The sequence below is a fragment of the Homo sapiens genome, chromosome 17 (genome assembly GCF_000001405.40).
Source record: "Homo sapiens chromosome 17, GRCh38.p14 Primary Assembly".
Classification (NCBI taxonomy): domain Eukaryota; kingdom Metazoa; phylum Chordata; class Mammalia; order Primates; family Hominidae; genus Homo; species Homo sapiens.
The window spans coordinates 73,111,998-73,139,759 of NC_000017.11; the positions used below are offsets into that span (position 1 = coordinate 73,111,998).

The 27,762-nt window shown below is 45.1% G+C and overlaps 4 annotated features.

The window, feature by feature from the left end:
- Positions 19,925-20,474: an enhancer, noted in NCBI's record as "OCT4-NANOG hESC enhancer chr17:71128061-71128610 (GRCh37/hg19 assembly coordinates)". NCBI's record gives its function as "activates a minimal SCP1, AML or CMV promoter by ChIP-STARR-seq in naive H9 embryonic stem cells {active_cell/tissue: H9 hESC(naive)}" and the evidence as "EXISTENCE:reporter gene assay evidence [ECO:0000049][PMID:30033119]".
- Positions 19,925-20,484: a biological region, named in NCBI's record as "OCT4-NANOG hESC enhancer GRCh37_chr17:71128061-71128610".
- Positions 20,415-20,484: a silencer, noted in NCBI's record as "silent region_8919". NCBI's record gives its function as "represses an Ori minimal core promoter by ATAC-STARR-seq in GM12878 lymphoblastoid cells {active_cell/tissue: GM12878}" and the evidence as "EXISTENCE:reporter gene assay evidence [ECO:0000049][PMID:35858748]".
- Positions 25,459-25,659: a silencer, noted in NCBI's record as "peak2987 fragment used in MPRA reporter construct". NCBI's record gives its function as "represses an SCP1 promoter by STARR-seq MPRAs in K562 erythroleukemia cells {active_cell/tissue: K562}" and the evidence as "EXISTENCE:reporter gene assay evidence [ECO:0000049][PMID:32103011]".

A 27,762-nucleotide genomic window follows, 5' to 3' on the forward strand; every position in this document is an offset into this window, starting at 1 on the left:
GAGATCGAGACCATCTTGGCTAACACGGTGAAACCCCATCGCTACTAAAAATACAAAAAATTAGCCAGGCATGGTGGTGGGCACCTGTAGTCCCAGCTACTCGGGAGGCTGAGGCAGGAGAATGGCGTGAACCCAGGAGGCGGAGGTTGCAGTGAGCCGAGATCGCGCCACTGCACTCCAGCCTGGGCGACAGAGCGAGACTCCAACTCAAAAAAAAAAAAAAAAATATGCTTCGAGGACTTCCCAGGTACATCCTCCGACAAACAACTGACGTTCTCTGCCCAGGTCTTGAGACATCGAGAGAGAGAGGTGTGAATACTATAGCTATTTTCATGGTGAGACTTCTACGATTATTTTAAAATAATATGTCACTGAGACTTTACAGACTCACATTGGTCTTTTACCTAAAGTCATCCTAATCAGCAAGGCTTCACCACATACTCAGGAAACCTCAGTCGGACCCTGTAACAGATAATAACCCACACAGAAAGCCTCACACATTAAAGGCACTCAAAAAATCATTTGTCTAATTAAATGATGGCACCCTACAAATTGCCCTGTGCCTTCCACTCCCACTAGAGTAGGTTGGGTGTTGACCCATCAATATGATTTCCCAGGAACTTGCTTAATAAAACTATTCAAAATATAAGGGGAAAAAAGATACTGATCATCTTAATGCTCAACAAAAGGTTAAATAAACTACAGAGCATAAGTGCAGTGGACTTTTATGCCATTTGCTAAATGATAAACATCATAGGACTATAGGAAATATTTATGATATCAAGCTTGTGAAAAAAGCAGGATTCAAAAATATATGCTACTTGTCCTTGCAATGGTAAAAAAAAAAAAAAAAAGTAATATGCAAATCACAGAAGACTGGCAGATAATTCCTAATAATTTAAAGTAGTTGGGGCATTCGGTGATAAGAGCATAGGTTTTCCTCCTCTTTCTGTAATGTTATCTTCCTTTTATAATTTAAATATATTTTAATAAGGTATAAAAAAAGGTTGCATACAGAAAGTAAGGCTCATTGAGCTTAAACAATAAGACCTAAAGTAGGTATCAAAACACAGTCACGAAACCCAGGGCTCCTAATTTTCAACACAAGACTCTCAAACAATAAAATAAACCCTGTGTTTATATCCACGGCCACCTAGATGTTTAAAACACCCAACTCTTTGGAAAGCCAGTTGCAATTGAAAGTTTCCACGATTTGTTTTAATCCATCGTTTCCCAAGAATTTTCTTCACCTCATTAGCTCTTCAACAGGCCAGCTGCAGAATGAGGTTGTCTCCATGTGATGAGAACCAAAGGCCTAAGGAAGCTTTCTCCCTTCCTCCCTCCTACCCTTCTTCCTACAAGCACAGGGTCCTCCTCCAAGCCCCTGGGGCCTGCCTTCACCACCATGCCAGCCTCTCACTCTGCGATTCATGTCTCTTCCCTATCAGTTTCACAGGCAGATGGTTGGCGAGGCCTGGGCTTTGACAGAACATCTGAACCATGCGGGGCCTACAGACCCGTGGACTTTCACCACCCACCAGAGACTCCATCCCTCTGCCTTCCTAAATGCTACCTGGATGCTCCCAGGAAACCATAGGTTCAGGGCAAAGTGTCTAAGCCAAAGGCTCCGTTTTCCCTCCCTACAGCCCCAGAAAAGGATAGAAAGTGGGACTTTCCACAGGGCCCCTGACATGTACCCAAAGCTGCCATCAGGGAGCCACCTGGCACTTGGACATTAGAATGTTGTCTGCCAAGGTGCCTGCTTCTGAGGTTGAGAAGGCTATGCTAAGTTCTTCCAGAATTTTCTATAGCCATAGTGGGCAAGTACCTTCTAGTCCATTTTAATACCAAAATTCATTTTGTATTAATTTTAACAAGCATTGATTACCTAGCATGTAGGCCAGCTATTATTATTGCTCTAACTCCACTGCTATGGTTTTAATATCCCCTCCAAAACTCATGTTGTAACTTAATCCCCAATGTACCAGTATTGAGAAGTGGGGCCTTTAAAAGTTGATTGGGGCTGGGCATGGTGGCTCATGCTTATAATTCCAGCACTTTGGGAGGCCAAGGCAGAAGGATTGCTTCAGCCCAGGAATTTGAAACCAGTCTGAGCAACATGGCAAAACCCTGTGTCTACAAAAAATACAAAAATTTGTCGGGCATGGTGGCACGCGCCTGTAGTTCCAGCTACTTGGGAGGCTGAGATTGGATGATGGCTTGAGCCCAGGAGGTTGAGGCTACAGCGAGCCAAGATCGTGCCACTGCATGCCAGCCTGGGCACAGAATGAGACCCTATCTCAACAAAAAACAAAAAGTTGACTGGATCATGAGGGATTCATAGATTAATGGGTTATCATGGGAGGGGAACTGGTGGTTTTATGAGAAGAGGAAGAGATTTGAGCTAGCACACCCAGCCCCCAGCCATTTAATACCCTGCTCCACTTCAAGACTCTGCAGAGTCCCCACCAGCAAGAAGGCCCTCACCAGGTGCAGCCCCTTGACCTTGGTTTTCTCAGCCTCCGTAACTATAAGGAATAAATTTCTTTTCTTTATAAATTACTCAGTTTCTGGTACTGTTATAAGCAACAGAAAACAAACTAATACACCCCTCAAAAAATGGTTAGTCAAGTAAATTGTATTAGCAAATAATTCATTCTTTTCCCCATCTTATATTTATCAAAAACACTGATATAGCTACCAGAGCTTCAGATCAGTATGAAATACCAGGGCTCCAAAACTGCGAGGCTGTCACTCCAGCCAAAAGTAAAGAAACCGAATTATCATTTGCCTTTGCTTCATTCAGCATTTGGAAATATTAATAATTGATCGATGTGATGCCAGCAGCCCCATCAAGCTTAGGAACCCAAAGTTGGAAGTCACTGCTGCAGGGGGTAAAGAATAAATGACACACACTGTCCTTGGCTTTGAGAAACAAGGAAAACAATAATGTAAATATGTCCTCGCAAAACAGTTAACTACATAAGCAGCTCCCAATCCTTGTCCATTGCTGTTCTAACATACATACTGATACGGTTTGGCTCTGTGTCCCAACTCAAATCTCATGTCAAATTGTAATCCCCACGTGTTGATGGAGGAGCCTGGTGGAAAGTTTTTGGATCAAGGGGGCAGCCTTCTCCCTTGCTGTTCTCATGAGATCTGGTTGGTTGACGGAGTATAGCACCTCCCACTTCAGTCTCTCTCCTGCTGCCATGTGAAGAAGGTGCTTGCTTCCCCTTTGCCTTCCGCCATGATTGTAAGTTTCCTGAGGCCTCACAGCCATGCTTCCTGTTAAGCCTATGGACTGTGAGTCAATTAAACCTCTTTTCTTCATAAATTACTCAGTCTCAGGTAGTGTTTTATAGCAGTGTGAGAACGAACTAATACATATACTGATAAGGTTTCTCAGCCCTAAAGAGGAATACAATGTATGTATATTATCCCTCTGGTGAAGAGAGAAGACACTTAATACGCATTTGTCAAATAAATGAACGGTGACTCACTTTTTTTTTAAGACAATTAATTTTTACAGGGCACACTCTTAGGCAAGACTTCTGGTACATGATCTCACAACAACATCAAAGTCCAAAATTAATCAAGAAAGTAAGTGCAGCTGCTGTTCTAGGAGGCTGGAGAGACATTGGGTGATTAGGCTGGCAGGAGACCTAGTGGGTCTAGTGGGTGCTCACCCTGAGATGATCTCCTCTCCCTAATGCTTATTCATTCTCTTCTCTTGAAGAGGCTTCCCATCTTTGAGCCTTTGCTGGGCAGGATTTTGGTTACTGTGCTGAAATAGCGAGGGGGACTGGTGGAGTGAGGGCAAGATCCTTACAGGATGTGAAGGATGTGGGTAGGCTGAAAGAGGTAGAAATTAACCAGGAGTGAAAAAAAAAAAAAAAACAAGCAAAAGAAATTAACCAGGAGTGGACCGGGCATGGTGGCTCACGCCTATAATCCTAGTGCTTTGGGAGGCTGAGACAGGCAGATTGCCTGAGCTCAGGAGGTCAAAACCAGTCTGGGCAACATGGTGAAACCCCGTCTCTTCTAAAACTATAAAAAATAAGCTGGGCATGGTGGCATGTGCCTGTAATCTCAGCTACTGGGGAGGCTGAGACACAGGAATTGCTTGAACCCAGGAGGTGGAGGTTGCAGTGAGCTGAGATCATGCCACCTTTCTCCAGCCTGGGCAACAGAGCAAGACTCTGTCTCCAAAACAAGGAAATAGGAATTAACCAGGAGTGTTTGGCCAACCACATGGAAACTGGCCAAGCCATGTAGAAAGGAGTTTTAGAGAGCATGCCTACTGATTCTACTCTAATTCACCTGCAAATCCACATCCACGCAGACCCTATGGATCTAACATTGTAGCCCTGAATTACATAAAATCTTGAAACTTTTTTAAAAAAAGATTTATGTATATTTCTCACCCTTGAGAGAATATCAGTTACCGAAGAGTTAAAAATATCTCTTACTTTTTTCTACCCACCACAAAACTTACTTCCTTAAGGATAAAAACCTCGGGAACTATATTAGTCTGAAAATAATGAAAGTTTTAGGGCAGGGGTGTGGCCTGCTCAAAGGAGGGGTTGGGGAAGAATCTGGACACAGTGGGCAACAGGGATGGGGGCAAGAAAAGATTGGAGCTGAGGCTGGGTGGGGTGGCTCACGCCTGTAATCCCAGCACTTTGGGAGGCCGAGGGTGGGTGGATCACCTGAGGTCAGGAGTTCCAGACCAGCCTGACCAATACAGTGAAATCCTGTCTCTACTAAAAATACGAAAATTTTTTGTATTGGTGACATGTGCCTGTAATCCCAGCTACTCGAGAGGCTGAGACAGGAGAATTGCTTGAACCCAGGAGTTGGAGGTTGCAGTGAGCCGAGATCACGCCATTGCACTCCAGCCTGGATGACAGAGCGAGACTCTGTCTCAAAAAAAAAAAAAAAAAAAGACTGGAGTTGAGAAATCTGTTGGTGGAGAATGCAAATCACAGGTGGAAGACAAGAAGCACTACCCTCCTGGTGACAGAAAATGTGCCCCAATGTTAGGCAGTGGAGTACATAACATCATACCTGTTTTCATTCCCAGAATAGGACAGAAACTTACTATAACTGAGTCAATCAAACATCTTTGAGTTTCCACTGCACCAGGTCTCAGAGCCTTTCTTATGAAAAGAAGCTCACTAGGTCCAATCTTACCTGGCCCCCTGGGGATACTGTGGGGCTTGATAGGGTAACCATCTGTTCTGGTTTACTCAGGACTGAGGGGTTTCCAGGGATGTGGGACTTTTGGTGTTAACTGGAACAGTCCTGGGCAAACAAAAATGAGGTGGTCACTCTACACCACATTGCACACGAAAGAAAGCCAAAGCTCAGGTTACTACCTTGCTACTCAATGTGTAGTCCCTGGGCTTGCAAGGTAGGCACCACGAAGGAGCCTGTTAAAGATGCAAAATCTAGCAGGGTGTAATGGCTCATGCTTATAATCCCAGCACTTTCGGAGGCTGAGGTAAAAGGATTGCTTGAGCCTGGGAGGCGGAGGTTTCAGTGAGCTATGATCACGTCACTGCACTCTAGCCTGGGCAACAGAGCAAGACCCTGTCTCAAAAAAAAAAAAAAAAAAAAAAAAAAGATGCAGAATCTCGGCTAGGTGTAGTGGCTTGCGCGTATAATCCCAGTGCTTTGGGAGGCTGAGGTGGGTTGATCACTTGAGATCAGGAGTTCGAGACTGGTCTGGCCAACATGGTGAAACCTCATCTCTACTAAAACTACAAAAATTAACCAGGTGTGGTGGCAGGAGCCTGTAACCCCAGCTACTCAGGAGGCTGAGGCAGGAGAATTGCTTAAACCTAGGGGGCAGAGGTTGCAGTGAGCCAAAATTGCACCACTGCACTCCAGTCTGGGCAGCAGAGTGAGACTCTGTCTCAAAAAAAAAAAAAAGATGTAGAATCTCAAATCTCAAGCCCCACCTTGATCTGATGAATGAGAACCCACATTTCAACCTGATTCCTGGGGACCTGTGCCCATCGGGTGTGAGGAACATAGGGTTATTAGATAAAATTTGTTCCTTCAGCATCCATGAGTCTGTGCATGTGCTATTTTATTTTGACTGTTTCAATATCAGAAGAAACCATCCAAAATTGGTGCCAAGTGAATTATAGCTTTTTATGACCATTTACAACACCACACTGCAAGAAGGCTAAAGAGTGATTTTGTTTCCTCTCTTCATTCTCTTCTCCAGATTTCAAGAAACAGAATGCAGCAGTCCAGAACATTTTGACTCTAGTGGTTGCTTTGCCAGGATTTCTCAACCTGAGCGCCACTGGCATTCTGCGCGGCACATTCCTTGCTGTGGGGCTGTCCTGTGCATGGTAGGATGTTTGGCAGCATCCCTGGCCTCTGCCTACTAGATGCACCTGTTATTGCACCTCCTCCCAGTTGTGACAGCCAAAAATGTCTCCAGACATTGCCCGATGTCTCCTAAGGGGCCAAACAGCCCCCAGTCAAGAACCACTGGCTTAGACAAAGAAGACATGCTCATGGAAATAAGAGCCAAAAGCAGACATGAGGGAGCTTGTGCTTGCCAGGAGTTTGTTAAAGTCTTGAAAACTATGTTCGGCATGGCACGGTGGCTCACGTCTGTAATCCTAGCACTTTGGGAGGCCAAAGAGGGAGGATCGCTTGAGCCCAGGAGTTTGAAACCAGTCTGGGCAACATAGGGAAACCCTGTCTCTACATAAAATTAGAAAATTAGCCGGGCGTGGTGGCACACACGTGTGGTCCCAGCTACTCAACAGGCTGTGGCAGGAGAATCGCTTGATCCCTGGAGGTGGAGGCTGCAGTGAGCTGAGGTCACACCACTGCACTCCAGCTTGGGTGACAGAGCGAGGCCCTGTCCAAAAAAAAGAAAAAAAAAAAAAACCCTGAAAACAAGGCCACACTGATACCCAACAGGCTTCTGGAGAGAACCAGCTGGGTGACCTGCAGGCCCACCCCATGTCGAAGGGGAAGCTGTCTGCCAGTGACACTAATGAAGACAAGCAGTCCCCAGTTGCCAGGGCTCAAGCCGTCTGCCCCACCACTTACAGCTGCTCTTTGTTATTTCAGCCACAGAGTGCAAGAAAGACCTTTTGCCGTTTTATTAGTGTGCCATGCTGAACGATATTAGAGGTTTCCTAGCAGCATTGTTAAAAAAAAAAAAAAAAAAAAAAGACTGAGTAGTTGACGTTAGAATCACCAGAGTGAACCATCTGGCTCAGTCCCCCACCATCATCACATGAGGCAGAAGGCCATACCAGATGGGGCACTTGCAGAGCTGGTCCCTGCTGTGAGCAGGTGCTGTTTAGTGTCTGGGTAGCCCCAGGAGGCTTATGGACTGAGAAACCATTCCCATCTCTGCCTCCGGGCTGGCCTGGGCCACACCCTTCCTCAAGGCATGTAAAGGAGGTTAACTACTCCATTTGTCAATTTTAAGATGCACTTTCTCCTCCCTGCTCCCACCCCCAGTTCAGCATCTTGGAAATCTGGATTCATCTTACAGCAATAGGACAATGGCCATCAGACAGGTATAAGGTGGGATGCAGCCATCAGGGCCTGACGACGCGCCAATGTCAAAAGCACCTGCAAAAAACTCTCAGGATAGTCCAGAAGGTTTGGAGGGAAATCCAAGAGGAGTGCCCTTTTGGCCCATAAAAGACTGATGGTCATAGAGAACGGGCAAGGAGGCAGGGAATTGGATGTCTTCAGAAACATTCCTGAAGGCGCAGAGTGGGCCAACCCTACTCTGCATGAGTACTACTCAGAGAGTGGTGCCTGGACCAGCAACATCAGCATCACCTGGCAGCTGGCAGGAAATAAATGCACATTCTCGAGCTCCATGCCAGACCTACTGAGTCAGAATCTCTGGGAGTGGGCCCAGCGCCGTGGCTCACGCCTGTAATCCCAGCAGTTTGTGAGGCCAAGGCGGGCGGATCACTTGAGGTCGGGAGTTTGAGACCAGCCTGGCCAAAATGGTGAAACCTCGCCTCTACAAAAATACAAAAATTAGCCAGGTATGATGGCGGGTGCCTGTTATCCCAGCTATTCAGGAGGCTGAGGTGGGAGAATTGCTTGAACCCGGGAGGCAGAGGTTGCACTGAGCCAAGGTCGCACCACTGCACTCCAGCCTGGGCAACAGAGAAAGACTCTGTCTGAGAAAGAGACAAAGAGAGACAGAGAAAGAGACAGAGAAAGAGAGAGAAAGAGACAGAAAGAGAGAGAAAGAGACAAAGAGAGAGAGGAAGAGACAGAGAGAGAGAAAGAGACAAACAGAGAGAAAGAGACAAAGAGAGAGAGAGAGAGAAGAGAAAGAGAAAGAGAGAAAGAAAAAGAAAAGAGAAAGAAAGAAAAGAGAAAGAAAGAAAGAAAGAGAGAGAAAGAGAGAGAGAGAAAGAAAGAAAGAAAGAAAGAAAGAAAGAAAGAAAGAAAGAAAGAAAGAGAAAGAAAGAAAGAGAAAGAAAGAAAGAAAATAAATTTCTGGAACTGGTCCAGCAATCTGTGTCTCAGGCCCTCCAGGATGTTCCGATGTAGGCTCGAGATGAGAAGTGCTGCTCTACATATTTGACTTAAATCAACGAACTTGGCTTAAATCGATATTAGCAACAATTATTAGCAACAATGGCCTTTAGTTCTTTTAAGGAATCTTTTAAGAAATGTTACATCATGGATACTGTAGACAAAGACGATAATATATGAAAAAATACTATCTCAAGTACTCTGACTTGAAAAGTGATAGAGAAGCATCAGACTCAAATATGAGAAAGTTTGAGGAAGCGATTCCTCTTCTAAATATTATATTTCCTTTATATGCATGCAAAATGTATATTTATATGTATGCATAGATGTATAGTTTTCTTCATGAGTATGCACAGCACATAATAAAACTAAGTCTAAAAATTTCTTTTTTTTTTTTTTTGAGACAGTGTCTCGCTCTGTTACCCAGGCTGGAGTGCGGCAGCATGATCTCAGCTCACTGCAACCTCTGCCTCCTGGGTTCAAGTGATTCTCCTGCCTCAGCCCCCTGAGTAGCTGGGATTACAGGCACCCAGCACCATGCCTGGCTAGTTTTTGTACAGATGGGGTTTCATCACGTTAGCCAGGCTTGTCTCAAACTCCTGACCTCCAGTGATCCGCCTGCCTCGGCCTCCCAAACTGCTGGGATTACAGGTGTGAGCCACTACATCTGACCATAAAAGAGCTCTTTTAATAAGTAAAAATTAAATATTCTAAGTATAAGCAAGTATTCGAGTTTTGAACTATACACTTTTTCTTTCTTGACGGTTCACAAAATACTGCATCCTTGGGTTGGCAGAGTCTTAGGTTCCATAAAATGTGGAATTCTACTGTGTAACTTTGCCTCACCTAACCTAACTCTTTTGTGATACAGTTTAAACCTTCTCAACAAGGCCACATTGCAGCTATCTACATGATAGTGTGTTCCGTACTCAAAGATCATTAATCGGCCTTTTCTCAGATTTATTTTCCCCCACTTGGCTCTTCCTCTGACCCTACGGTAGGTAGTCCCATTTCCTAATGCTCTCATCACGGTGGCTTCTTTCTGCATTCTCTCCAACTAATCGATGCTCCTCTCCAATTCCAGCATGTCTAAAACAAAATATGGGATAAGTGGCTGGGCTAAGTTTGACATCTGGACCACAGCTGTGCACTGCTGGAAGAGGGTGGCTTCCACCCATGACAATGAACTGACACAGAGCATCTGTTAGGGCCTGGGAATCAGAAACCAGCCTCTCTGTTGTACCTAGGACCCCAGGGTCCTTTTTTTATTTTTATTTTTATTTTCTGAGGCAGAGTCTCACTCTGTTGCCCAGGCTGGAGAGCAGCGGTGCAGTCTTGGCTCACTGCAACCCCGCATCCCGGGTTCAAGCAATTCTCCTGCCTCAGCCACCCGAGTAGCTGGGACTACAGGCACACACCACCACGCCCGGCTAATTTCTTTTCGTATTTTTTGTAGAGACGGGGTTTTGCCATGTTGGCCAGGCTGGTCTTGAACTCCTGGCCTCAAGCAATCCACCCCTCCTCAGCCTCCAAAAGTGCTGAGATTACAGGCATTGAGCCCCTGGCCCCCCAGGGTTCTTAAGTCATGAAAACAGAGAAAGTGATAAGACATCCACATGATAAGCAGCCCCAATTCTTCCTGGCAGTCAGATTTCTTTCTCTTCTTGTATGCCTTCTTTGGGCCTGAGCGCTGAGCTTCCTGCATGATCTTACAGGAATTGACTAGACACTAAAATAATTGCTTTGCAGCAAGATAGAGCCAATCCAGAGGGAATCAAGACATGAGTCTGGTGGTTGACATCACGCAAGTTTATGGAGGGAGCTATGTGTTTCACAGAGCGACAATGGCTCAGCCCGCCAGCCTGGCCTCCTGAAGCCAGCGCCAGCCTGGAAGGAGAGACCGTCCCTTCTCCCTCTTCGGGCATCAGATGATAAGAAAGTCCTGCTGCCAGGATGAACTTCAGGAACTTGAGGATCAGTAAGATGGTGGCTCCTGCACAACGGGGTTGCTTTTAAACAGAGGTGATCATTAAACATTCACCGAATGAAGGAGTCATGGATAAGGATGTGGATCTTGGGATCAGCGTGTGAAAACAAATAACTTGTAGGTATTTCATTTATTTGTTTTCAATGGTAGGGGGGCAGGGAAAGGGGTTGTGGTGTTTGTTTGGTCTGTCTTCCCTATGAGCATGTCAGCTCCAGAGTAGGAAGACAATGGTGATATCGTTCAGCCTGGTATATCCAGCACCTAAAGAAATAAATCCAGAGTAGGCACTCAATAAATAAATTTGCCAACTTCGCCAGTGAATTTATTGGTTCAAAGATGTCCCTCTCTCTTAGACCAGAGAGTCTCCAATGGCTAGCTTGGGGATAGGAATGGAAAGGACAGGGGAGAGGTCTCAAGACCTATTTATTTTATTTTATCTTATCTTATTTTATTTTATTTTATTTTATTTTTTGGAGACAGGGTCTCACTCTGCTGCCCAGGCTGGACTGCAGTGGTGTGCTCACAGCTCACTGCAGCCTCCACCTCATGGGCTCAGTCAATCCTCCCACTTCAGCCTCCCTAGTAGCTGGGACTACAGGCATGCACCACCACACCCAGCTAATTTTTGTATTTTTTGTAGAGATGGGGTTTCATCATGTTGCCCAGGGTGGTGAAACTCCTGGGCTCAAGCAATCCACTGGCCTCAGCCTCCTAAAGTGCTGGGAATACAGGCATGAGCCACCATGCCTGACCCATCTCAAGACCTTTAAAAAACTACATATAATAGCTAATGTTTTACCATGCTCAAAGCAATGTTTGTGCACAAAAGTGTAAAGTGCACAAAGCCCGAATAACAGGCCTGGGAACACTTGGTGGCAGGAGGCCACAAATCCCTTAAATGTCAAGGAAGAGGCACAGCAGAGCGTCAGCTTCTCTGAGTCCAAGGCTGAACCACAACATCACCCACCAGTGGAAGCACCACCGCTTTCCAAACCTGACCTGTAACAGGGACTCTACTGCCCATCGATTAAAAGTGTGGTGTCTTTTTCCAGAGAATTGCTACCCAGTAGCTTTAGCTTTGCCTCTGAGGTCTCATCAATCCTTTCCCTCTTATGTAAAAGCAGCATTCAGGTCCTCTCCGCAACTCTTCCCTCCTTGCACCTAAAAATCTGTTTTTCCAACCGTTCCTCCTTTGACCAAGCCCAGGCCCTCACCACCCACTAGGTCTCCTCTCTCAGCTCTCCACTCTCAACACGCTCTCACAGAGTGTGCTGAGGCTTGAGTGCCCTGACGAGAACGTGAAGCCTTGGGCCTCCCTGCTTCCTGTGGGCACAATGGCTCTGTCTACGCACAGGGCTCATTCTTCCTACTTTGTGCCTCATCCTCCTTCTCCAGTTTGGAAAATACCAAAATGAACAAAGGAGAAAGAAAAGTCACCCATAACCCACCATTCCCTCTCTCCCTTCCTGCCTTCCTTCCGTCCTTCCCTTCCTCCCTCCCTTCTTCCTTCCTTCCTGTTTTTATGAGGGATATAAGGTAAAAAGTAGGCTTGGTGTGATGGCTTATGCCTATAATCCCAGCACTTTGGGAGACCAATGCAGGGGGATTGCTTGAGTTCAGGAGTTCAAGACCAGCCTGGGCAATATAGTGAGACCCCTGCCTCTACAAAAAAAAAATGTTTAAAAAACTAGCCAAGCATGATGGCATGTGCCTGTAGTCCCAGCTACTTGGGAGACTGAGGCAGGAGGATCACTTGAGCCCAGGAGGTGGAGGCTGCAGTGAGCAGAGATCACACCACTGCACTCCAGGTTAGGCAACAGAGCAAGATCTTGTCTCAAAAAGTAAAATTAAATTAAATTAAATTAAAATTGAAATGAAGTAAAATCCTCCTCCTTCTATCTTCACCAACAGAGGTAACCACTGCAAACAGCTTGGATAGTTCCTTCTAAAATGTTTTACTGTCATATGCAAACATATATAGATATAGATGTATACACACATACATACACATACATATACATACGTTTATATCTATATAAATACACCCAAATGTATGCACACATATACACATATAACTTCTAATTATTTAGTTACATGTATTTCTGTATATGTACTTAAAGAAATGTAAATTTATAAGTATAGATAAAATTATGTGAGCTACAATTACATTAATTATATAATTACTAAATTATACTATCATCTTTTATTACATAGATCTTACTCTGGAACTTGTCTTTTTCACTTGAGTGGCATATCATAGATACTTTCCCAAGGGGCTTCACACCACTCTCCCTCTTCCTTTTTTGTCGTGTCTGTGGTGCTCCATTTGGAGCTGGGCTGTGTTAAAATTGGCCAGTCCCCTCCCGAAGGACTTTGAAGATGTTTTTAATCTTTTGCGTTGTCTGATGTTCTAACAATGATTCTTTTTTTTTTTTTTTTTTTTTGAGATGGAGTCTTGCTCTGTCACCCAGGCTGGAGTGCAGTGGCGTGATCTCGGCTCACTGCAACCTCCGCCTCCCAGGCCCAAGCAATCCTCCTGCCTCAGCCTCCCAAGTAGCTGGGATTACAGGCACCTGCCACCACACCCAACTAATTTTTGTATTTTTAGTAGAGACAGGGTTTCACCATGTTGGCCAGGCTGGTCTTGAACTCCTAACCTCAAGTGATTCACCCACCTCAGCCTCCCAAAGTGCTGGGATTACAGATGTGAGCCACTGTGCCCGGCCAATTTTTTTTTTTTTTTTTAATAGAGATGAGGTCTCTTTTCATTGCCCAGGCTGGTCTCAAACTCTTGGGCTCAAGCGATCCTCTCACCTCGGCCTCCCAGAGTGCTGGGATTGTTGGTATGAGCCACCGATTCCAGCCTCTAACGACTATTCTTAGGCACCTATCTTTAAGCACCAAGGAAGGTATTTCTACAGGACCCATTCCAAGAAATGCAAACTGGGCCATAGGGTGTGTGCATGTTTCATTTTGATAGATATTGCCAAATTACACTCCTGAAAGCGTTCTCCAAATTTCACTTCCATTACCAGTGACTTGGAATTCTTTTTTCCCCCCAAATCTGATAGGTAAAAAATAGCACCTCACTGGTATCTTCCCCCAGTGGTTGAGGCCCTCCTGTGTGCTAATGCACCAGCCATATCCTCAGAAAGGCAGGTGGAACGGTGGTTCAGCACAGGAGCCCCGCTGTCCAACGGCCAGGATTCTAGCATACTTCTGCCTGTTATTAACTAGTACCTCCATTTCATCTACAAAATGGGCAAACTCATAGTGCTGATGTGATGTATGAAGGGTACGTGTAAAGCTCTTAGCACAGAATCTTTGCCCCATTCTAAATGGAAGCAAGCCCTTGGAAATCTACATTCTCTTTCTTTTTTTTTTTTTTTTTTTTTTGAGACGGAGTCTTGCTCTGTCACCCAGGCTGGAGTGTAGTGGCGTGATCTCGGCTCACTACAAGCTCCACCTCCCGGGTTCATGCCATTCTCCTGCCTCAGCCTCCTGAGTAGCTGGGACTACAGGCGCCCGCCACCATGCCCGGCTAATTTTTTGTGTGTGTTTTTAGTAGAGATGAGGTTTCACCGTGTTAGCCAGGATGGTCTCAATCTCCTGACCTCGTGATCTGCCCACCTTGGCCTCCCAAAGGGCTGAGATTACAGGCTTGCGCCACCGTGCCCGGCCAGAATTCTACATTCTCTACAGAACCCACCTCTCTCTCAACTCTCCCAACCACCAATTTCACTTCTGTGTCCTCCACTCTTCTTTGCCTTTCTCTCCAATTCGCAGGGCCTTTTGCTCTCCTCCATAATCCTTTTGATCCTCCTGACCACACTCTTTTTCCTCACTATGGCAACCCACTGCACATACCTTTCCCTCTGTTGGAACCCACACCTCACTGGGCTCTAGCCCCCGTGGGCAGATCTTGAGCCCACCTAGCTTGCCCAAGCATTATGGTGAATGCCTTGCTAAAATCCCAACTTGCCATGCTCATGACATTCACCCCATCTACCCCATCTACCTGCCAACTAAGCCAGCAGAGAAAATAAATGATCGAGCCTCCACAGCTTAGCCTGCACTTCAATAAATAAAGATGTGCAATGAGATTTGGACCTGTTGCCATCCAATTGCTAACCTCCATCCCCAAATCCAGAGCTGAGAAGCAAAAGACAAGACAATTAGTCCTGGAACAGGCTCTGCTGGCCAGCAGAAGAGGTCAGCAGTGGTATTGAGCAGTACCAAAGCTGCTTTATGATAATTCTTCAGCTGGGTACAATGACCTTTCATTCCATGTTTATTTGGAAATGACCTTTAAGCAGCAATCATCCAAAATTAAATGCTCCAAAGGAATAAATTAGATAATGCAGATGTCCCCCAGTGGTCAGTTAAGGAATACAGTGGAAAATAAAAGCAGCTCTGCCCGGGGATGCCACGGGCTAGTCTGTCCATTAGACTAATAAGCGAATACAGAGTTCTCGCAACCTCTGTCAATCAGAAAATTGAGAACCTGAAGCCAGAGTGACCTAGACATGATTATTTTCAAAATTGAACCCAAACTAGCTGATATTTCACTTTTTGATTCTGCCTGGAGCACAGGTAACTGAGTTACTTGAATGCCCAAGAATTGATTTCGCATCTCAGGGAGAAAGAATCCCGAAGATTTGGGTTCAGTGGCAACTTGGTAAGCTCCACGTGCCCCATCCCAGCCTCATTCCAATGGAAGACATCATTCATTTGTGCTGACTCATTATGAGCATCTACCACACACTGGGTTCTTTGCTAAGTGCTGGAGAAAATTCAGCCCCTCAAGGTCAAAGACAGAGGCAGGCAACTGAGCTTTTGGGCCTGCAGGAGGCACGGCCCTCTCCACCATGGGAACATCTCATTTCTGTTCTCATTTTCTACTCTGCAGGCTCTGTTCTTTTTTTCCCACTCAATATCAGTTTATCCATTTTCCTCTTTCTTGCTTATATTTAATTTGACCAATGATGGCACTCCCAGATAGCACCAATGGGTGATGCTTGGAACTTAACAAATCATTCTTCCTAAAGTAGAAAGCATCTGAAAAGAGAACTTCAGCACCAAGGCCTTTGGCCTCCTCTGCCACCTGCTCAGTGAATCTTTTTTTTTTTTTTTTTTTTTTTGAGACGGAGTCTCGCTGTGTCACTCAGGCTGGAGTGCAGTGGCGTGATCTCAGCTCACTCCTGGGTTCACGCCATTCTCCTGCCTCAGCCTCCCAAGTAGCTGGGACTACAGGTGCCCACCACCATGCCCAGCTAATTTTTCCTATTTTTAGTAGAGATGGGGTTTTACCGTATTAGCCAAGATGGTCTCCATCTCCTGACCTCGTGATCTGCCCACCTCGGCCTCCCAAAGTGCTGGGATTACAGGCGTGAGCCACCACACCCAGCCAACTCAGTGAATCTTAAAATCACTTGGATCACAATCCCAGGGCAAGGATCTCTTTCCTACCCTAGGGGATCCACTGGAGGGATCCATGAGAGGAGATCCGAAGAGACAGGGAGGAAAGAGACTGCTTTCCTCCCACAAAAGCAGTTTCCACAACCTCCCCTGGTCACCTCAACTGGCCCATAACACCTATCACTGCTCCCAAAGCAAAGGCTGCCATACCAAAGGCCTTACATTGGGCCAGGCATGATGGCTCACACCTGTAATCCCAGCGCTTCAAGAGGCTGAGGCGGGGGGATCACCTGAGGTCAGGAGTTCGAGACCAGACTGACCAACATGGCGAAACCCTGTCTCTATTAAAAATACAAAAGTTAGCCGGGTGTGGCGGTGGGCACCTGTAATCCCAGCTACTTGGGAGGCTGAGGCAGGATAATTGCTTGAACCTGGGAGGTGGAGGTTGCAGTGAGCCGAGATCGTGCCACTGCACTCCAGCCTGGGCAACAGAGCAAGACTCTGTCTCAGAAAAAAAAAAAAAAAAGGCCTTACATGGGGCAGATATGAGGTCAGAGCCCAATCCCTGCTGCCAAGGACAGTCTGATTTCACCTCCAGCTACCTTAGGAACAGCAGTGGGAAGGCAGGGCTTCAGGAGACAACCTCCAGAGGCCCAGCCAGGCAGCGAAGGGGATGGAAATGAAACTATAGCATGTGCAGTGGTGGGAACACTGCCTGGAAATCCCAACCCCAGTTCAGATTTGAAGCTTCACTAACTCACTGAGCCAAGTCACGTCACCCTCTGCTTCTTATAATGAATGGAACCCGAGTGAGTCCTAAGCTGCAAAAAATCTGTGATCATAGTATCCCCCAAAATTGAAAACAGACTCAAATCAAACAAATCCTTGTACATAAATGTTCATGCCAGTACTATTCACAACAGGCACAAGGTAGAAGCAACCCAAATGTCCATCAACTGATGAATGGATACACACAATGGGGTCTATCCATACAATAGAATATTATCATTCAGCCATGAAAAGGCATGAAGTGCTGATCCATGCCACAATGCAGATGAACCTCCAGAACATTATGCTCAGTGAAAGAAGCCAGACACCAAACACCACATATTGTATGATTCCATTTGTAAGAAATAGCCAGAATAGGGAACTCTGCAGAAAGAGAAAGCAGATTGGGCTGGGTGCGGTGGCTCAATCCTGTAATCCCAGCACTTTGGGGGGCCAAGATGGGTGGATCACCGAAGGTCAGAAGTTCAAGACCAGCCCAGCCAACATGATGAAACCCCATCTCTACAAAAATACAAAAATTAGCTGGGCATGATGGCAGGTGCCTGTAATCCCAGCTATTCGGGAGGCTGAGGCAGAAGAATCGCTTGAACCCAGGAGGTGGAGGTTGCAGTGAGCCAAGATCATGGCATTGCACTCCAGCCTGGGTGACAGAGTGAGACTCTTCTCAAAAAAAAAAAAAAAAAAAAAAAAAGAGAGAAAGCAGATTGTGGTTGTCAGGGGCTGCCAGAGTGGGGAATAGGTAATGACTGTTTTATGGGTATAGGGTTTTATTTTGGAGTGACTAAAATTTTTTTGGAAAGACATAGAATTTGTACTTGTAGAACATTGCAAATATACTAAATGCCACTGAATTGTTCAATTAAAATGGTTACTTTTATGTTATGTGAATTTCACCTTAATTTTTGTCTTTTTTTCCTTTTTGTGGAGAATGGGATCTCGCTATATTGCCCAGGTAAGTCTCAAACTCCTGGGCTCAAGCTATCCTCCCGCCTCTGCCTCCCTAAAAGCTGGGATTACAGGCATGAGCCACCATGCCCGGCCTCACCTTAATTTATTATTATTAATTTATTAATTTATTTTAGACACAGGGTCTGGCTCCGTCATCCAGGCTAGAATGCAGTGGTGCAATCATAGCTCGTTGCAGCCTTAACTCCTGGACTCAAGGTTATAGGCATGAGCCACGGACCCTGCCCCCTTACTTCATTTTTTTTTTAAGTCTGGTGAGTAGGCTTACAATAGCTGGCTCCGACTGGGTTTCTGCAGAAGCCTCACCTGGGAAGGGTCGTAAGAAGGGCCACTCCCTCTATTTCTATTCTGGAACCCCTGACGCCACTTTTTTTCCCCAAACATAGCTAAATTAAGCTCTTTTCTATTTCTCTAGCAGAATTATATGTCTATTTGTTTACTATCTGCCCAAAAAGGCTAACTCCAAGAGGGTAGTGATTTGTCTGGTTCAACGTAACACCCCACTGTCTAGCCATGGGTGGGCGCTCAATAAATATTTGTGAATGAATAAGTGAATGAAACTATGCAGGTGATCCTGTTTACCTTTTTTTCTTTTTTTAAAAAATAAAAGCTATAAATGTGTTGGTGGGGATGCGAAATGATGTAGCTGCTATGGAAAACTCGATGGAGATTTCTCAAAAAATTAAACATAGAATTGCCATATGATCCAGCAATCCCACTTCTGGATATACCCCCAAAAGAATTGAAAACAGGATCTCAAAGAGATATTTGCACACCTTTGTTCGTTGCAGCATTATTCACAATAGCCAAGAGGTAGAAGCGACTATATGTCCATCCATGGATGAATGGATAAAGAGAATGTGGTCTGTGCTTACAACAGCGTCTTAGCCTTAAAAAGGAGGAAAATCCATCTTATGCTACACCATGGAAAAACCTTGAGAACATTATGCGAAGTGCAATAAGCCAGTCACAGAAGAACAAATACCACACGACGCACCGCTTATATCGAGGCATCCAAAGCAGTCAAGTTTGTAGAAACAAAGTAGAATGGTGATTGCTAGGGGCTGGGGAAGAGGGGGAAAAGGGGAGTTATTTAACGGATATAGAGTTTCAGTTTCGTAATATAAAACATCCTAGAGATCTTTTGCACATGATGTGCATATAGTTACCATTATGGTACTACATACTTAAAAATAGTTACGATGGTAAATTCTACATTATGTGTTTTTACAATTTTATGAAGCTATAGACACACGTATACATGAATGTATAATTATACATCTTTAATTTTTTTGTGTTCTTAAACCAGCCTGTGAGAGGGTAGCTGAACCCGTGAGAGCTCTGCTGCCTGGTTTTGAGTAGGGACTATCCTGGTGGGTGAGGCTTTGGACAGCAATGCCCTTGAGGAGAGCTGGGCTCCATATCCTGTCTCCAGGAACTCATCAGCACAGATTGGAAAAGTTTATATGGCTAGATGAAGTTGCAGGGGGACCATCTGAATAGGCTCATGAAGCAGGAGTCATTAACAAGAAAAGTCAGCTCAAGCGCTCTTTGCCAAGAACTGGCTGTACAAAACTCAGTCCAGAAAATATCAACCTTAATTACAAAGTGGGTCTCTCCTGGAGGGCAGTGCTCCTCCCCCGACCCCAAGAACTGGGTTGGAGCCATGGGGGGCAGGGTGGGTGCTAAACTGCACTAGTTGAAACTTTTTTTTTTTTTTAATGGAAGCAAGTTTATTAAGAAAGTAAAGGAATAAAGATTGGCTACTCCATAGGCAGAGCAGCCTGAAACTTCCAAAGAAAGGGAGAAAGAAGGAGTGAACTGGGCCCTCCTAAACGCTAGTGCAAGATTTGGTATACTACAACTCACAGGCCAAGTCTGGTTATGCCTGTTTTTATAAATAAAGTTTTATTGGGGCTGGGCACTGTGGCTCACTCCTGTAATCCCAGCACTTTGGGAGGCCAAGGCGGACAGATCACTTGAGGTCAGGAGTTTGAGACCAGCCTGGCCAACGTGGGGAAACCCCGTCTCTACTAAAAATATAAAAATTAGCTAGGCATGGTGGCGGGCACCTGTAATCCCAGCTACTAGGGAGACTGAGGCAGGAGAATTGCTTGAACCCGGGAGGCAGAGATTTCAGTGAGCCGAGATGGCGCCACTGCACTCCAGCCTGGGTGACAGAGCGAGACTCCAACTCAAAAAAAAAAAAAAAGTTTTATGGGAACCTAGTTATGGCCCATCATTGATGCATTGATTTATCATCTATGGCTGTTTCTTCTACAATAGAGCTGAGTAGTTGTGACAGAAGCTGTATAGCCCACAAAGCAGAAGATATTTACTCTCCGACCATTTACAGAAGAAGTTTGCCAACCCCCGATCTAGGGAAAGAAAACGGTGTCCTGTGTAGGGAAGGACATAATGCTTCGCTCCTTATTCAAGGGCCAGTAAATCCCGTTCCCTTTTGTTTTCTCCTGCTGTTCTGCATCCTAGCGCAATCAATTCCCAATTGTGTATGAAGTGCCACGGAAAATCCCCAGCGGCGGTTAATGCAAAAGCATTTATAATTGGTTTCAGATGCTAATAGGAATCATCTATCTCTCACTACTTCCCCCAGCAGATTTACCTTCTTAATCATGTGTGACTTAGGCTGATGTCAAGATGCATCTGCACTCCCAGAGCACCCCCTACACCCACCAGCTGCAAGGCAGAAAGGCAGGGGTGAATGCAGAAGTGATCTAAAGTGGCGGGCGCGGGGGGAGGGCGCACACCAAAAAAAACGGGTGGCATTACCCTGTGAGGAAGCACAGGGCCCAGCCAAAGCTGCAATACAAATAAGAAATAAGGGTTCTCTCTAGAACGGTTACTCTTAAACTGCTCTACCATTTTCACGGCCTCTCTCTGTCCATCATGGCAGCTCCTGGGGTTGTTGCTTGCAGAGCTGTGTAGCCTGCTGATAGCATTATGGTCAGTGGGCAGACCAGGGGAGGACTCTCTAGGATCCCCCAGCTGGTGCCAGGGAGAGGCATGGGAGGGGTTGAAACTAACTCTCCATCCAAAGACTCTAAAGATGGGTAGGGTCAATCGGCCTCTCAGGAGATGCTGAAGACTACTTCTTATGGGTTGTGGGCCATGGCCTCAGAATTTAGGAAGTTTACAAACAAGGCAGAGAGACCACAGAACATCAAATACTACTACAAGAGCTAATCAAAGAAAGAGAGAGAGAAATGGCTGGGCGCAGTAGCTCAGGCCTATAATCCCAGCACTTTGGGAGGCTGAGGTAGATGAATAGCTTCAGCCCAGGAGTTCAAGACTAGCCTGGGCAACATGGCAAGACTCTGTTTCTACTAAAAATACAAAAATTAGCCAGACCTGGTGTCACACACCTGTAGTCCCAGCTACTTGGGACGCTGAGGTGGGAAGATCAACTTGAGCCCAGGAGATCAAGGATGCAGTTAGCTGTGATCACGCTACTGCACTCCAGCATGGGTGACAGAGCAAGACCCTATCTCAAAAAAAAAAAAAAAAAAAAAAAGAGAGAGAGAGAGAGAAAGAGGGTAAACAGAAGACCTGTGCCAATGCAGTCAACAAGAAATTGCCAACTAAGTCACCTCAAACCTTTTATAGAACAAAAGAAGGTATAAGTATTTCTTTCTCATAAGGGCCAAGAAAGAAATATAGACACATACAATGAATTCAGAGGTAGGAGAGATGGCTCCAGCCAGACTGGCCCCAGAGGGCTTTCTAGAGAAGCAAGCACATGGCCCAGATCTCAGGGTGAGCAAGACGCCTCCTGTGGCCACTCAAGATGGTCAGAGTCCATCAACCCTGTCACAGGTTCCAAAGCACCCCTGTCAGAAGTTGTTCTGCATGGACCCTCCAGCCTCTTCTCCATCAGAGCTTTCTAGGCCAAAGAGTAGGAGCAGCAGCCATAGAACCAGTCAAGGAGCTCTGAGCCTCCTCCAGGCCCAGCTCTGTACAGGGGGGTTTTTTGGTTAATCCTCAAATAACCCCATAGTGTAAGTTTAACCCCTATTCCTAGAACAATACCCAGCATATAATAAGCTCTCCGGGAATCAGTATTTGTTTATTCATTAACTATATTTTTATTATGTTGAATAACTCCCCATCTTACAGATGGGGAAGGGGTAGAATTGCTAGATTTAGCAAACAAACAAAAAAACAGGACACTTCATTAAATTTAAATTTAAGATAAATAACAATATTTTAGTATAAGCATTGGAACACTGGGTGTCCTGTATTTTACTTAGTAACCCTAGGAAGCAGGGGATAGGGTGAGGAGCTGCAGCTCAAAGAGGTTTTGAATTTGCCTGAGGTCATCATGGGTAGGAAATGCCAAAAACAAATTCAAGCCCTGGTAGTCAAGCTCTAGAGCAAGTCTGATGGGCCTCTACACTGTCCCAGGCTGCTTCTCCCTTCTTGCCACTCCCACAGCCCTTTGACTACAACACTTTGACTACCTCACTCTTGCAATTTAACACATTGCAAGAAGGTAGTTGACAGTGCACATGTTGGTTTCCTCCCTTAGAAGATAAACTCTAATTCTCTGTAACTGCTTGGGATGGAGGCAGCTAATTGTCTTTGGGAATCTACTCTCTTCATCATCCTCCATTAAAGACACTCCAGTTCTTAGCTGGGCACATGGCTACTGGGATAAAGACTGTATTTTCCAGCATCCCTTGTAGCTACGCATGGTCATGTGACTAAGCGCTAACCAGGAAGTATCCTAAAAGGAGGAAGCATGCCCTTCTCTGCTTCCTGTTTCCTGCTGGCTGGGATGCGGAATAACGGCTGCTGCTATAGCAGCCCCTCTTGGACCACAAGGGACCTTGGGGGTGAAAGCAACCCCTACCAGAGCAATAAAACAGGAGAATCCTGGGTCACTAACAGTATTTAAAGCAATATCAGCCCTGGACTACTTGTAGGCTTTTTTCTAACTTAAGCCACTATTATTTGGGGCTTTCTATTACTTGGAGTTGAATATAATTGTAAGTTATGCATGACCTCAGCACCTAGAGTAGCCTGAAAGGGATTCAGGGAAGGTTTGCTGAAAGGATACCATTTCATAACCGAACAGTATCCTGCATTCCAGATTCTGGCCCAAAAACTCCCACCTCCCCCTAACCTCATATAAAACCTCAATTAAAATGCACGGCTAGAAACCTCACAAAATCCTTGACCTAAATATATCTGTATGTATGTGCTTTGATATTCCTGTGTGGAAGGGGAAGATGGCTGGAAAAAGTATTTTCTTTCTCTTAGGTATCCCCCAGACACAGATTTCAATAGTGGTGCAAGGCTGACCTAAGAGTTATTAATGATATGCTATTGGACTAAATGAGCTAGAATCACAGCAACATGGAAAATCAAGACTTCCTGCTATTATGTAAATGTACCGCCATTTGGGAAAATAACTCAGTATGAGATTCATTATAAATAATGTTTTCATCCCAACCTTCATGGCTTTTGGAAACTTCAATATATGACCCAATTTATTAACTAAAACAAGATCCCTCTCCAATCCTTTTAAATGACTTCTATAAAATTTTAAGCTTAGATCATCCATGCAAATATCTTACATTATTAGCTATGCAAATATTTTGTATTATTTTTAAAAGCCCAAAGCTTCTGAAAAACTCTCTTAATCCTGGATGTATTTCCTGATCCTACAATCATTTTATAGTATAAAGACACTACTGGGGCTGGGGGAAGTGGCTCACACCTGTAATCCCAACACTTTGGGAGGCCAAGGCAGGCAGATCACTTGAGGTCAGGAGTTCGCAACCAGCCTGGCCAACATGGTGAAACCCCAACTCTACTAAAAATATAAAAATTAGCCAGGCGTGGTGGTGGGCACCTGTAGTCCCAGCTACTTGGGAGGCTGAGGCAGGAGAATCGCTTGAACCCAGGAGGTGGAGGTTGCAGTGAACCGAGATTGTGCCACTGCACTCCAGCCTGGGCAACAAAGCGAGACTGTCAAAAACAAAAACAAAAACAAAACAAACAAACAAACAAAAGACACTATTGGATTAAAGGTATACATAGTAAATATATAGAAATCAATGTAACGTGTACATCCATCAGAAATTTTACTTGCATTTAATAAAAACTAATTCTGACTTATTGAAATGGAAATAAAATTTATTAAATGGTTGAGTCAGTTGCAGACCTCTCAGGAGGAACAGAACGACCACACAGCGGTAAACAGTCAGATGAAATCCCATAATTGCACCATAGAACTAACCCAGTGAGGACAGTGGTGTTGCAACCCTGAGGGTGTCAGTGCTTCAGGCTGTGTCAGTACTGAGACCCCTCGATACTGTTTCCAGAATCATTGCCATGTGTCTTCCAGATTTGGACACAACCACTGCTTCTGCCACCCTCACAAAAATGCATTATTATTATTATTATTATTATTATTATTTTGGAGATGGAGTCTCCCTCTGTCACCCAGGCTGGAGTGCAGTGGCACGATCTCAGCTCACTGGAACCTCTGCCTCCTGGCTTCAAGTGATTCTCCTGCCTCAGCCTCCCAGGTACCTGGGATTACAGGCACCCGCCACCAAGCCTGGCTAATTTTTGTATTTTTAGTAGAGACGTTTTTCCGTGTGGTCCAGGCTGGTCTCAAACTCCTGACCTCAGGTGATCCACCCTCCTCAGCCTCCTAAAGTGCTAGGATTACAGGTATGAGCCACTGCACCTGGCCCAGGAATAGATTCCTTGTGGCCGCTGCTTCTTTCTGTCACCAGCTTCTCATCCAAAGCCATGTGCAGGTGCATGTGATTTGCATTTCTAAGCTCATGCATCCCGGTCCATTTGCAAAGGAGGCTGGGAAGTCTGATACCTGGTTATTCCAGAGGTGAGCTCTATCTCATAAGATAGGAAATTCCCCATAAGATGATTCCTATGGTGGGCAACCAAAAAAGACAAATATTCACTACAATGCAATTTGACTGTCGTTTTGTCATGATGGCAATGTGATCCAAACTACTGCCCCTGTGTTTTCCCTAAGGATTCCTAATTCCTAAACACCCTGAACTGGCTTTATGAACACTTTATTTTTTCCACAATTCGAGTTTCCTCTAGTTCGTGGGTTTTCGTTCTCTCTTTTTTTTTTTTTTCCTTGAGATGGAGTCTCACTCTGTCACACAGGCTAGAGTGCAGTGGCACGATCTAGGCTCGCTGCAACCTCCACTTTCCAGGTTCAAGCCATTCTCCTGCCTCAGCCTCCCGAGTAGCTGGGATTACAGGTACCCACCACCACGCCCAGCTAATCTTTGTATTTTTAGTAGAAATGGGGTTTTGCCATGTTGGCCAGGTTGGTCTCGAACTCCTGACCTCAGGTGATCTGCCCACCTCGGCCTCCCAAAGTGCTGGGATTATAGGCTTGAGCCACTGCACCCGGCACCTTCAAATTTGTTTCCAATTAATTATTCCCAGCTCCGTCTACAGAATAGGGACAAATTAAAAACAACCTTAATGTCCACCAATTCATTAAAACAAATTAGGGACAATTACAAAGTTATTTGTATACCAAGCGGAAGATATAAATACATACCTGGTTATTGTAATGACTGCAAATTTAAAAAATTAGTGAGGCATTGCCAAAACAGTAAAGCAGGAATAATTGATTTAAAGTGAGTTGGGAATTTTTTTTTAACTATCCCCATCTCCTCATCTACTGAACATTAAGATTCTTATATTTTATTGTTTTTTCCCTACTGTTATACATTTTTGGTTATTTTCCTATTGCAAAAGCAATGTGTGCATATACAGACAGCAAGATTAATATAAAAATGTCTGTAATCTCACCACCCAGTGACAAGTAGCCTTATCTCCAGGACAGTAGCTTTGAGCATAGGCTTTGGGGTTAAACTGCCACATCTGGGTTGGGCGTGGTGGCTCACACCTCTAAGCGCAGCACTTTGGGAGGCCAAGGCAGGCAAATCACCTGAGTTCAGGAATTCAACCCCAAAATATATAACAGTAGGGAGAAAACATTAAAATACAAGAATCTAAATTTTGAGTAGATGAGATGGGGATAGTTAAAAAAAAATTCCAACTCACTTTAAATCAATTATTCCTGCTTTACTGTTTTGGCACTGCCTCACTAATTTTTAAAATTTGCAAAGTTGTTACAATAACCAGGTATGTATTTACATCTCACACTTGGTATACAGATTACTTTGTAACATAGTGAATACTTGTCTCTACCAAAAATACAAGTATTAGCTGGGTGTGGTAGCACAGGCCTGTAGTCCCAGTTACTCGGGAGGCTGAGGCAGGAGAATCGCTTGAACCCAGGAGGTGGAAGTTGCAGTGAGCCGAGATTGTACCACTGCACTCCAGCCTGGACAACAAAGTGAGACTCCATCTCAAAACAAATAAAAAATAAAAAACAAAAATGCCACATCTAAACCCTCATGACCTTAGAAAACTTCCTCCATCTCTCTCCCCTCGGTTTTTCCATTTATGAAAAGGGGATGCTAATGTCCCTTCATAAGGTTGTTGTACAGACTGAATGAAATAAGGTCGACTGAGCCCTTAGCATACCTGGTGCACAGTGAGCTTCTAGAAACACTAGCTGTTATTTCAGATCCTGTCCTTGCATTGGTCTAGCTATTTTCACAAAAATGGCACATTTCATCAAACCTCTATTACTGGACATCGAGGTGGTCTCTAAATGTAATAATTACTAACAGCACAGAGCAATAATTATTTGCAAAAAAAAAAGTTTTTTATCAGAAATTTTAAGATAGGGAGGCATTCGTTAAAAAGAACAACTTCTAAAAGTCAAAAATCCTTTTTGAAACATTTATAAAATATTATGAAATTGTCCCCACCTATTGATTCAAAGGTGTACCACATATAACACCCATACACAGTGCTGGAAGAAAATAATTGTCTCAATCAAAGTGCTTTTGACCACATGCCCTGTGATCAGTCCCCAGAGTGGTGTCACATTGTCTCTGATTTGACTCGCAGCCTGCTGGACAGAGACACGGCTTTACAAGGAGCTTAACGGTTGAAGTCAGATCTGCGGGAAACTCGTCCAGTGTTGCCTGGCAATACTGCTGTCAGGTGGGCAGTCCCTTTGGGTCCTGCAGTTACCTGCTGGCCAGATACCAGCCCAGTGCTAGCAAATGCCAACAGCAGCCCACACAGATGGACCACAGGGGATGAGCCAACAGCGGGTGTGGGCGAGGGTGCAACAAACGAATCACTGACTGGAGATGCAAACCTCAGCCCAGCAGCTGCCACATCTGGGCCAGGCACGGTGGCTCAAGCCTGTAATCCCACCACTTTGGGGGGCCGAGGCAGGAGGATCACCTGAGGTCAGGAGTTCAAGACCAGCTTGGCCAACATGGTGAAACCCCATCTCTACCAAAAATACAAAAATCAGCTGGGCGTGGTAACACATCCTGTAATCCCAGCTACTTGGGAGGCTGAGGCAGGAGAATCGCTTGAACCTGGGAGGCAAAAGTTGCAGTGAGCTGAGACTGTGCCATTGCACTTCAGCCTGGGCAACAGAGTGAGACTCCGCATGGCAATAGAGCAAAGCACAGTTGACTCGGAAGGCTCTTGCTTGCTGTCTGTACCCCTTGAAGACCACTGTTATCTAGAAGTGGAGGTAGGAGGAGAATGAAAAATAACAAAATTCTGGAAGCTCATGTTTATGTCTAAATTTCTCTCCCCTCCTCTCTTTGGCTCCTTTCCAGCCTAGGGCACATTTTCTTAGTGACAGCTGATCAGGAGGATGAAGTTGACATGGCGCCAGGACCGTCTGTTGGCCACCTCCCCACAATGCACTATTCTCCTCTTCCTGCACCACACCCTCCTCCAGAAGCACCTCCAGACTCTCAGAGCCCTGGGGTCTTGTCCTGCTTCAACTCTGCTTCCTGGAACCCTAGTTCTGTTTTCAGGTAGCGTTGGAGTCCATCCATTAGCCTGGAAGTAATTACATTCCCTCTTCTGGGATAACCTTGACTCTCTCTTGCGCTCCTTCAGTGACCAGGGCAAGTAGGCAATAGCAT